This window comes from Homo sapiens, chromosome 13, assembly GCF_000001405.40.
Source record: "Homo sapiens chromosome 13, GRCh38.p14 Primary Assembly".
Lineage (NCBI taxonomy): Eukaryota > Metazoa > Chordata > Mammalia > Primates > Hominidae > Homo > Homo sapiens.
In genome coordinates, this window is record NC_000013.11 from 77248962 (window position 1) to 77262288 (window position 13327).

The following is a 13327-nucleotide window of genomic DNA, read 5'->3' on the forward strand; positions in this document are numbered from 1 at the left end:
ACAACCTGGATGAACTGAGGATATTATGCTAAGTGAAATAAGCCAGTCACAAAAAAGACAAATACTCTGATTCTCTTTATATGAGAGGTACCTAGAGTAGTCAATCAGACACAGAAAGAAAACAAGAATAGTGGATGCCAGAGGCAGGGGAGAGGGAAGAATGAGGAGTCATTGTTTAACAGTTACAGAGTCTCAGTTTTACAAGATGAAAAGTTATGGAGATGCATGGTGGTAATAGTTGCACAACATTATGAATGGATTTAATACCACAGAACTGTCTACTTAAAAATGGTTAAGCTGGTCAATTTTATATGTACTTTATCATAATAAGATATGTAGTCACAATTTTATAATAATTGAAGTCAGCTTAATAGTCCTTAATATTCTGATATATTCAGTTTGCTTCATTCATAAAGCAATTATTATACTTGGTTAGTATTGTCCATGTAAGTCTATGAATAATTATTATAAATTATGTAAGTCTCTGGAGGAAAAAACGAAGAATAATTAATTTCAAAAGGGACCAGATAATTTATAGATTTTGTTCACGATATATACTGGCTGCTTAAGCTCAGAGAGTGGGGATATTAAATTTTATTTTTATTATATATTTTTTGAGTTAGGGGTGTTGCTATGCTGCTGAAGCTGGTTTCAAACTCCTGGCCTCAAGTGATCCTCTGGCCTCAGCCTCCCAAAGTGCTGGGATTACAGACATGGGCCACTACACCCAGCTAACACTGAATTTTAATGGAAATAGCGTTGGAGAGATCCAGGAGAATAAATTTCAATTCCAACATTGTTAAAAAATAATCAGAGTCTTTCTGCATCCAAATTAAATTTAAAAATAAAGAAGTTAGGTGCTTAAAAAACAGAAAACAGAGCCAAACATAAAGCACTACAGAATAAATATTATCCTTTGATAAAGACGACTTTATTGCTTATACTAATAATGTAAAGAAAATTTGTTTTTAAAAGTTCATGGCCGGGCGCGGTGGCTCACGCCTGTAATCCCAGCACTTTGGGAGGCCGAGGCGGGCGGATCACGAGGTCAGGAGATCGAGACCATCCCGGCTAAAACGGTGAAACCCCGTCTCTACTAAAAATACAAAAAATTAGCCGGGCGTAGTGGCGGGCGCCTGTAGTCCCAGCTACTTGGGAGGTCGAGGCAGGAGAATGGCGTGAACCCGGGAGGCGGAGCTTGCAGTGAGCCGAGATCCCGCCACTGCACTCCAGCCTGGGCGACAGAGCGAGACTCCGTCTCAAAAAAAAAAAAAAAATCATATCTCAGCAGCCTTAAAGAAAAGGCCTGTTATATATGACCTATTTAACTATGAAAGGCCAAATATAAACTTAGAAATAAACTCCTATTAGATCCAGACAATATTTGGGAAGAAGCAACTATTACAGAGTTGACAAAGAGGAAGGTCAAGAGGCAGGGATGGCTGTCTTCCTTCTGGGCTTCTCTTCACAAAATTTTCTCTACTCCCCCAAATCAGCCAATTATTACAAAGCTGATCACACAAAGAATATCCCATCATGTTATAGTGGCTATAACTAGCAATGTAGAAAATAGATTCAAAATTCTTCCTAACATCCTAGCAGAAAACCTGCATTCTTATTCTGCCAAACTTACATATTAACTGTAAATTGACAATAATATAGAACCCTGAAAAATGTGGTCCATTGAGAACAAGGATAAATATAGCAGGTATGATGTAACTTTAGAAGCAAGCATACAACGTTTCTAAATTTATAAATGGTACATTTAATTTAAAACAAAACTATATATCTAATCAAGTACTCTTTATGATATCGATAATTTTATTTAGAAAAGATTCATGTTCAACAGAAAGAAATATAATAGATATCTAGCATTAAATAGGCTTTGAAAAATAATACAAATAAAAGTACAGCCCCAAGTCTTGAAAAACTTATGGTCTGTTTTTAAATAATGGTTTAAATGAATCAAATGAAAGAAAGGCAACCTTAGAGATGACATTAAATTATAAATTATTATAACAGAAAACAATTATAAGAATTATAATACTTTCTTGGCCTTTTGGCTAAGATCAAGTGAAGATGCCACTGGTCTTTAAGAAAAAAATATTAATAGTAGAGTATACTCCGGAATGATTTTGCAAAGAAATGTGTTCTGCACATGTTCTTTAGTAGGAATCATTGTCTCTTACCCTCCGGGGACTCTGTCTGGCCGTCCACTACTGACACAGCTGGCTCCATAACCTGTACAGTCTCCACAGACAGTGCAAACCATGCACTGCTCCAGCTTCCATTTGTGCATGCCTGGAGGGCACATCATAGACTTCTCATCTTTTTCATCTAGTTCTTCTTCCAGGTCTTCATCCATTGCTGTTGCCATATTTTCAACTCCAAACCCTATTTGACAGATCAATTTGTAATTTTTATACAGGTTACTTTCATGTATAAAAGATGGATGACTATATTTCCCAGTTTAAAAAATGACAGCATGCTAATCCAAGCAATTATACAAAGAAATGCTTAAATTTGAGTAACAAAAATAAATTTTAATTTAGGGACCACTAATAAACACTCTCCCCATTTCATTTCTGCAAAAGAAGGCAAGGAAGGCTATTGTCAAATGTCTCTTGGCTGTTACCTTCTGTCAATCATACTTTTAAATCTTTTCCTGTTTTCCATCCTCACTACCAACACTTTCATTCAACAGACCAAAGAAAGCCTCCCAACCATGCTCCAAGCCAAGAGTTCCCCACTCTAGATCATCCTCCTACTGCCACCAATCACCCTCCCAAAGCACATGACAACTTCATAATTTACAAACCTCCAGTGACCTTCCAAGGTCTTCAGAAGAACAAAACTCAGCAAGAGGCAGTAGGCACAAGATGGCTCCTAATTTTCTCCAATCTCATTTCTTTTCCCTCTGCTCTCCAAACACCCTGTGTCCTTCCATATGCTCAGGGCCTTTGTTCATTCTTGCTCCCTCTGCCTCTTCCTTCCTCATTTACAAGATGTCTCTGCCTATCTCATCTAGTAGAGAAACTTCAGCCTTCAAAAATTCAGCTCAGAAGTCATTCCCTATTAAAGCACTTGCTACCTTTTCCAGGCAGTCAGTCACTACCTCCTCAGTGCCTGTTTATACCTCACCTAACAACTTTTTAAAATGGTGTTACAATACAATTCATTCATCTTTTTTTCTAAATTGAACACCTACTATACTCCAGGGATTCCTTCACGGCAAGAAATCAGCAAACCTTTTATAAAGAGCCAGTAAATAATTTAGGCTCTGTGGCCCATACAAATCTTTGTCACATTTTTTACAATCCTTACAATGTAAAATCAATTTTTAGCTTAGAGGGCTATATAAAAAAATGACATCAGGTTATACTCTGCAGACCTCTGCTCTAGAAACTGAAGACGGTAATACTGAGCTGTTATGAAGCTTATAATGTAGTAAGAAAGACAGACATTAATCAAATAACCAAATAAAAATGTAAACTACAACTGGTAGGGTTTTGAAGGAACACAGTGTTATAAGACCCTATGACAGGAGAACAAATCTGTGGGAGTCAAGTAATTATTTTTTATATTTGACTTTCCTAAAGGATCTAAGTTATGAGGTTAAGTCTTGCTCATAATATCTCTTATTCTTAGTCAATCTTATTCTCTCACACCTATCACATCCATTTAACATACAGCTATCACTCAATACAGGTCTATCTAACCAAGAAATAAACTCATAGCATATATAGCCTTTTGGGGTTTTGCCACTTCTAATCTATGGGCAAGCAGAAAAATTAGATAACCAAGCATCAGCTAGCTATATCTAGGATTAGAATAAAGTGATCCTGAAGGAAGCCTCAGTGACTATTTTCAATAATCATAGCTAAAATGTACTGAGCACTATTTGTAACTAGCTCTATAAGCATTACTCATTTAATCATTCCAATACTGGAACTATTATCCTCAAATTAATCTTTACAGTCAATGGAATCTCAATCACAATGCCAAGCAAATAAAGCTGGTTCTAATTTATATGGAAAATAAAATCTCTCACCAGGCTACATTCATCAAAAATTTATAAAGAAAAAGGTTGAAAATTTTGACATCAAAATTTTAAAATTATACATAACAAATGAAACTGTAAACCACAGGTTAGTCAAAGATATATAAAACATAATACGTAAAAAAGCTCCTACAAATCAATTTTTAGTAAGTAAAATAAAGTTTGAAGAGATGTTCAAACTCAGTATTAATAATCAAGGGAATGAAAATTAAAAGAAAAGTGAGAGAACCAGCAATTCTACTCCTAGGTATATACCCAAAAGCCATGAATAAACACTTTCACCAAAAGACATTTACTAGAATGTTCACAGCAACATTATTCATAATAACCAAAACTGGAAACCATCCAAATGCCCAAATACTAGAAACAATTTTAAAACTGTAGTATCTATATATAATTTAATAGAACAAAAATGAACAATCTATAACTACTTGTAACAATATGTATGAACTTCATAAACATAAAACAATAAAAAGAAACTGGACACAAAAGAGTTCATACTGCATGATTTCACTTATATCAAGTATAAAAAGAAAACTAATTTATGGTAATTAACTGAAGGGCAGAGAGGAACATACAGTGGGGCTTTCTGGGCTGCTGGTAATATGTGGTTTCTTAATCTGGGTGCTGATTACATGAATACAATCAATTTGAGAAAATTCATCAAGATACTATGTATATTTTCCTGCATGCATATTATACTTCAATGTAACAAATAAAAAATTACAGTATCATTTCATAGCCACCAAACTGACAAAAATCAGTCTGTCAATATCAGATGTGATGTGGAAAATCCAACTCTACTGGTGAGAGTATAAATTGTTACAATCTCTTTCAAGAAAAATCCAGTAAAACTGAAATCCACAATAGAGCAATTACATCAGAGAAAGTCTCACAGGTTTTCCAGGAAACATTTATAAAGGAGGTTTTAAACTCATTTATAACAATGAAAAATTGGAAATAAGCCCATCCATCAACAGGAGAATGGATACACTATAGCATGTTCACTGTGTGGTATATTACACATTAGTTAACATGAATCATTTAGATTTATATGTACCAACATGGACATATTTCTAACAGAATGATGAGAAAAAAAAATTTGTAGAAAAATGTAAATAACAGATTAACACTTATAAAAACACATAAAACAGTAGTATATTTTATGTGTAAAACAGACATCATTATGCAATATTATTTTACACATAAAATATAAAAGAACATGTAAAAATATATAAGAACATGATTGAACGTATGCTTATCAAAGTCATGATCGCGGTTAGCTCTGGGGAGAAATGGAATATGATAATAAGCCTTGGAAGGGGGATATGGGGCACTTGAATCTTATCTGTGATTTTTTTTTAACTGAAAAAAAATGACAAGACATGGTAGAGACACAATTTTTTAATATTTCAATATGTTCTGTACTTTCCTGGTTTAAATAAACTTTTAAAATATTCCTTTACGTTCGTTTTAAATTGATACATAACTGTTATACCTATTTATGGCATATATGTGAGTTTTCATACATGCATATAATGTCTAATGATCAAATCTGGGTAACTGGGATCAAGTCAAGATAACTGGGATATTCTAAATTCTCTCTTCTAGCTATTTTGAAATACACAATATATTGTTGTTAACGACATTCACCCTACTCTGCTCCTGAACATTAGAACTTATTCCTTCTCTCTAACTGTATTTTTGTACCTATTAACCAACCACTCTTCCTCTCCCCCTCCCACTATCCTTACAAGTCTCTGGTAATCACTATTCTATTTACTATCTCCATGAAATCAATTTTTTAGTTCCCATATATGAGTGATATTTGTCTCTGTCCCTGGTTTATTTTATTGCAGTTAACATCATGTCCTTCAGTTCTATCCATGTTTCTGCAAATAACAATATTTCATTCTTTTTTAGGGATGAATAATATTCTATTGTGTATGTACCACATTTTCTTTACTCATTCATCTGTTGATGGATACTTAAGTTGATTCCATATCTTGGTGTTGTGGATATGGCTATGATAAACCTGAGAATGCAGGCATCTCTCTGACATACAGATTTCCTTTCTTTTTGATACATATACCCAGAAGTGGAATTGCTAGATCATGTGGCAGCTCCATTTTCAGTTTTTTGAGTCACCTTCATACGAATGAAAAATCTATGTTTTCCATAGTTGCTGTACTAATTTACATTTCCACTAGCCAAGTATGAGCATTCCCCTTTCTCCACATTCTCCCCAGCATCTGTTATGACTCTGCAATCAGTATGCACTGTATGTGTCTTACTTTACTCATCTGCTTTCTAATTCATTACTTACCAGCAGGGTAGGTATGATTCTTATTAAAAAAATCTTTTAACAATTTTACTTTGATTATTACAAAATGTCACTGAAGAATCTAGAACATAGGTGTAAATGTACGCTCAATTTTCACAAGAGTTTCAGAATAAGGAAACAATGTTGTTTAGTTCAGACTTCTTATAAAACATAATCTGAATATATATTCATATTATATATTAAAAAAACCCGATTCTCCCCTTTGTCCTAGCAGTTATTATCCAAAACAAGTTCACTAATTTAGTAATAAATCAAAGTATTTCCATTGTGAAGTAATCCATTTCTTTTCTTTCTTTTGTTCCTTCTTCATTTGCCAATATATTCTAGTAACTTGCTCATTTTTAAAGTGATGCATTTTAAATACACACACAGACACACGAATAAGGCAAAGACAAAGAATGGTGGGTTTCTGAGATCCAGATGAGTCTGACATCAAAGCCTCAAAACAGAAAAACCAGGTTTTGTTAATTTATACAGCATTAATCCTCGAAATTATTGGTACTTTAACCAAAGTTCAACGCTTAGTTCTAATAATATATATGTATGGTTTAATCTCTTGACCAAAATCAGAAATTGGAGTGAAAGTTATAAACATAACGATAGCAGCTAGATATAAAAATTGAGGGCAAGAAGTAGACATGCTATTTACAACCACAACAACAAAACAAGACCACAGCAAACAGGGCAATCAAAGGAGAAAGCCCTTTGTTCTCTTCAATGGCCTGAGGGTTGGAGCAAAGGATATTGTGAAGAAGGTGTGTCTACAATTTAGTCTTTTCTTGGTAAAGTGTCAGATATTCATAAGGATCACTCTTAGTTGTCAAGAACAGGTTAAATTACAGGTAGCATGTGCTGTTAAATGGGAAGATAATATACGCCAGAAAGATTGCTGCCAAAAATGGTTAAAATTTAAAACATGTCGTGTAACAGCAGCTAATAAAAAAATGTTTGGAAAAGACTTTTCTGGAGTAATGCAGTCATCAAAGATGCTAAGCCAAAGAAGCACTATTTTATGTAGAATTTAGAAGATGATTGGAGTAAGCCAGCACATTTGCTCAAAAATAAAAAATCTAAAGTGTATTTGTTTTTCCAGTGATATTTTATCAGTAAATATTATCAAATAAATAAGAAATTCAGTGGTTTTCCTAATTCACAAATATAACGTCAAAGAGCCACTCAAATCCAATTAAAAAATGTGAAAAAGTTCTGAATAGACATTTTTCAAAAGTAGACATATGAATAGCAAACAGGTATATGAAAAGGTGCTCAACATCATGGATCATCAGAGAAATGCAAATCAAAACTACACTGAGATACCATCTCTCCCCAGTTAACGTGGCTTTTATCCAAAAGACAGGCAATAACAAATGTTGGAGAGGATGTGGAGAAAAGGGAACACTTGTACACTGTTAGTGAGAATGTAAATTTAGTACAGCCACTCTGGAGAGAACAGTATGGAGCTTCCCCAAAAAACTGAAACTAGAACTCAATATGATCCAACAATCCCACTGCTATGGATATACCCAAAAGAAAGGAAATTAGTACATCAAAGAGATATCTGCACTCTCATGTTTATTGCAGCACTATTCACAATAGCCAAGATTTGGAAGCAACCTAAGTGTCCATCAACAGATGAGTGGATAAAGAAAATGTGGCATATAAACACAAGGTAGTACTATTTAACCATAAAAAACACTGAGATCCTATCATTTGCAACAACAAGGATGTAACTGGAGGATATTATGTTAAGTGAAAGAAGCCAGGCACCGAAAGACCAACTTCACATGTTGTCACTCATTTGTGGGAGCTAAAAATTAAAACAATTGAACTCATGAAGATAGAGAGTACAATGCTGGTTACTAGAGACTGGGAAGGGTAGTCAGGGAGAGTGGGTGGGAAATGGGATGGTTAGTTGGCACAAAAATATAATTAGATACAAGAGATCTACTATTTGATAGCACAACAGGGTGGCTACAGTTGGCGATAATTTTTTGTATACTTTAACAACTGAGGGAGTATAACTGGAGTGCTCATAACACAAAGAAAGGATACATGCTTGAGATGATGGAGACCCCATTTACCCTGTGATTATTATTACACATTGTAGGCCTGTATCAAAACAACTCATGTACCCCATACATATACCTACTATCTACCCATAAAATTTTTAAAAAAAATTTAAATAGGAACAAAAAGAAAAAGAAGAGCCACTCATTTTGAAAAGAACAAGACTTTTCACTATGTTGTTCTGAAAAACTAATGAAAAGACAACACAAATTTTAATATCTAAGAATTAAAGACCTACCTTTCCCACCTTGGTTCATGGCACCAGTATCTCGTCCACACTGTCCTTTATTATTTACACCAAATGTCCACACCTCTCCATTCTTCATTAAAACACAAGTGTGAGCTTTGCCCATAGCTACCTGAGTTACAAAATGGCCCTTCAAATCAGTTACCAAACCTATAGGAAAGAAACAAATTTAGTAAAAACAACAAAAAGGCCCTTCTGAGCCTAGTAAAAGAACTACCTCAATGCAGAACCGTTTATTTCTGGGGCAAAATAACTCAACAAAATGAGAAATAAGTAGCCAAAAGACTGGCAGAGTATCACTGAATTAACTTTGTAACTTTGTAACGTAGCTTCAGTGAATCCTAAAACATTATCATCCAGACTTGGGACATATCTTTACTGTAGCTTTCTCTCAAGCTTACTTCTCCTGAATGCTTCCTCCAAATGGTAATACCTCTCCACAGTACTTTCAAACTTTTCTGGTCTAAGCACAAAGGAGTCCATAAATAATTTATTTTACCTGCTTTGACCTGCCTCAGCAAAACAAAGTAAAATACTTGCCATAGTATATTGACATGAAATTGTTTATGTAGAAACCAGTGAGACTTTTCAAAACAGTATTTTTTAATCCTTTTCAACCTACAATGCTTTCTTCCACAATCCAATACACAGTTATTTTCTAAACTTCACTTATTCATGTATTACTTTCATTATATTTGTCATATCCAAGTGCCACTCATATTATCTATTTAATATGTTTTGTATCAACTCTAAATTGATTGAAGCATCTTTAACATTAACAATCAAAGATTATTATTTTTCCAATATACATTAAAATAAAAACATGTTATCAAGTATTTGTTTTATTTAAATTACAAATAGTATCAATCTCATATTATGCTTTGGGAAAACTGTTCTACATTATTAGCTCAGATATCACTACCTTAAGGTGGCCTTCACTTTCACCTTTCACTAGTTTAGGTCTTTTTGTTAATTATACCTCAAAAATTTCCACTTTTAATATTTAGCACATTTGAAAAAGGTAAGGGTGTGTGTATATATATAAAACAGTAGTTATTTATTATTATTATTAACAGTACTAGCTGACATGCTTTGAGACCTTACATGATGTGCTAAGCATTTCTTAAGTTCTACCTCCTATAATCTTCATAACAACTATATGAAGCAGGTGCTATCATTATCTATTTTTTGCAGGTAGAAAAAAACAAAAAGAAAACTCTTAAATGTTTAGTAAACTGTTACCCAGTTAAAGATTAAGTAAACTGTTACCCAATTAAAAGCGTTGGTGCCAAGGGCCATGCGCGGTGGCTCACGCCTGTATTCCCAGCACTTGAGGAGGCTGAGGCGAGTGTATCACTTGAGGTCAGGAGTTCGAGACCAGCCTGGCCAACACAGTGAAACCTCGTCTCTACTAAAAATACAAAAAATACAAAAAATTAGCTGGGTGTTGTGGCACGTGCCTATAATCTCAGCTACTTGGGAGGCTGAGGTGGGACAATCGCTGGAACCTAGGAGGCAGAGGTTGCAGTAAGCTGAGATTGTGCCACTGCACTCCAGCCTGGGAGACAGAGTGAGACTCCCTCTCAAAAAAAAAAAGTGTTGGTGCTAGGATCTCAGTCTATGTCCATAACCATTCAATACCACTTCCCCAATATTTAAGTTCTGTAATACCCAACTGTCTCTCGGATCCTCAAAAAGGCAGTATCCAGGTCTGTCAGGTCCATCAATCACTAATGTATCACCCATGCTCAATAAATATATGTTGAAGAAATATACAAGTTTCCATCAGCTCTACCCAGTGGATGTTAGCAAGCAACAATTATATTGAATATTATTTTTAAACTGTACAAGAACCCACTCCCAAATTTTGATTTACTCTGATAGCTGCAGCCAATTGAGAATCTAAATATTACAACATTAAGCCAGTTCACTTATCATCTGGGTACACCTCCACTTAATAATTAATTGCTATAAATGTTCTACAGGTGTAATTTCCCCAGCATGGGACAATTACATATATTTCTAATCATAAACTTCATTAATTCTAGTTTCCTTTTTTACAAAGAAACTCAAAGGCTTTACATATTTATCACACATAAAATCCTTCCAAGTGGGATGCTTCACTCATTATATTCATTTCTAGCTGCTAGAAAGAAAATCTAGTAACCAAATATGACAAGTTTTTGAGATTAGCATTTATAAATATAAAACCATTTAGCTAGTTCTACCCCTCATATCCACTTCTCAAACTTTTGGTTTATCAGTCACCCAGGCACTAGAAAATAATTCTTGAGACCCTACAATGTGCCAGACACTGTGCTGGGCACTGGGGATAGAATAGTAAATAAGACAGATCATCCCAGCCAAACACCCTAATGGGGGAGATAAAATACTTCAACAATTATAAACTAGCTATGTCATGAAAATCACTTCTTCAGGATACTACCACTGTCCCAGGGACATGTCCCATAAGCACCTGAGTCTAGGGAAAACATCCACAGAAGTCACAGCTACAGCGAAGCTTCCCTTGCCAAGCTCTATGATTAGCTTTGCATGAAACTAGGGACAGTGCTCCTAGTGACAAGATATGACAGAAAATTTCTCTTTCGAAATATTTCACATTTGGAAGGAAATGTAAAAAATGTAGAGAAAGCATGCCACCAACATAAATTTTCTAGATATGTCTTTGTCATACATAACTAGTATTGAAACTTCTTTGCATAAAAGTAAAACTTTTTATTAACTTACTTGAACTATCAGAGTAAATGGCATCTTTTCCAAACATGTAGAGTTCTCCATCTTTAGAAATAACAGAACTACTTCCATTATTGCAGGCTGTATATACCACAATCTTTCCTTCCATCTTAATTATCTTTTTAGGTTTATAAGGTTTGGATTGCCGTCTGCTCTTAGCTTTAAAAAAGAAATTAGATTAAATCAAGACCTCTATGTACAAATAATAATAATAATGGTTTGTATATAAAGCTAAAAAAAAAACCCATATTATTTGCATTTATGACACTATTTGTTTATTTTCACAAAGGCCTGGGCTTCCCAACATGTCATTTAAAATCAGTGAACCTGCTAGCCTCATCTGGTCAATTAATATTTACGCTATCATTGCTAGATCCTCATTCCCTGAAGTACATTCAAATTCTCAGTGAGTAATATTAGTTTTCTACCAAACTCCTGGAGGGCCCAATCTCTAAATTAGCTATTGCATTATTAATACCATTCTACTAACACATATCTAAAATCTCCTTTTTTTCCCAAGTTGTAATTCACATGTATTCTTGTTAGATCCTGGAAAGTAAAATAAGTTCCTCATTCATTCAATATGTATTTATTAAGCAGTTACATCAAGTCAATGATATATATATAAAGTTGGTGTGGTGTTATTGAAATTCATAAACTTTATCTTAATAAAGTTTTATTTTTACTAAAATAAAGCATTTATTTTTATTAAATGCATAGTTGATCACTCAACTTACTTGATTCTCCATCTTCTCCTTTACTAGCAGATCCTGTAAAGAATATGCTCCCATCTTCTGCAACTAAAAGGGCGTGAGAGCCATCGTGTCCAACTGAGAAGTGTACTATCTTTGGAGATTTTGTAATTGGTAGCTCAACCCATTTTCCTGCTGAAGGACCACCTTGTTTGATTCCAAGACTCTGGTATTTGCCAGTGTAATATATCTTATGTATTAAAAAAAAAAAGGAATTATGGTACTTTTTGGAATAGTGCATCAGGTTTCACATGAGGAAAAAAAAGGACATCAATATTTTATTGAAAAATAAAATTCACATAAAAACAAACTCTTTTTTACACTATTCAGCTTCTGGGAGTTGAGCAAGAAATACACATATTTTGCCAAGAAGACACAGTTCATAATAGCTTTTTCATATCTTTTATCCATTAAGTTTCCTGTCTTCTATAGGCACAATTCACAGCACCCTAAAATAATTACAATAGTAACATCAAAGATAACAGATCACCATAACAGATATAATAATAATAAAGAAGTCTGAAATATTTCGAGAATTACCAAAGTGTGACACAGAGACACAAAGTGAGCACAGGCGGTTAGAAAAATGATGCCAACAGACTTGCTCAACTCAGGGTTGTCACAAACCTTCAATTTGTAAAAAGAGCAATTATTTGTGAAGTGTAACAAAACTAAGCACAATAAAATGAGGCATGCCTGTACTGTTCCCTACATGAATAAAATTTTATCTTATAAAAAATAATTTTAAATCAAAATTTAAAAGATGATTCTTCTTAAACATGCAAACTATATAAACTAATCAACAGATTGTATTTTAATCTCTTAAATCAGAGAATGCTCATTTTTAATCCAAAGAGAATAATTTACCTTTCCATTTGCTGTTTTCATTAGCGCAAACTCTCGTCCTGCACCAAGAATTGCTGACTCCTCATCAAATCCTGTACCTGAAATACGAGACTAATAAATACTATTGCATTTCTAATATGAAGAATTCTAAATACAACATGCACTATTTTAAGTGATTGCAATGTCAATTCAAAATCACTAAAAAACAAGGATGACAAAATGTCATGTGCTCAAATTTTTAAAAATATTAACCATAG

The 13327-nt window shown here is 34.0% G+C and overlaps 1 protein-coding gene across 1 annotated transcript in view; it reads right to left on the reverse strand.

Annotated features, from left to right (window-relative positions):
- MYCBP2 (MYC binding protein 2) overlaps positions 1 to 13327 on the reverse strand; it is a 282438-nt gene that overhangs the window by 204305 nt on the left and 64806 nt on the right. The window contains exons 11-15 of the mRNA NM_015057.5: positions 13092 to 13168; positions 12210 to 12414; positions 11467 to 11631; positions 8710 to 8868; positions 2190 to 2394 (exon numbers count right to left, since the gene is read on the reverse strand). Coding sequence (NP_055872.4) covers positions 2190 to 2394; positions 8710 to 8868; positions 11467 to 11631; positions 12210 to 12414; positions 13092 to 13168 — 811 coding nt within the window. The remainder of the gene's footprint in view (positions 1 to 2189; positions 2395 to 8709; positions 8869 to 11466; positions 11632 to 12209; positions 12415 to 13091; positions 13169 to 13327) is intronic.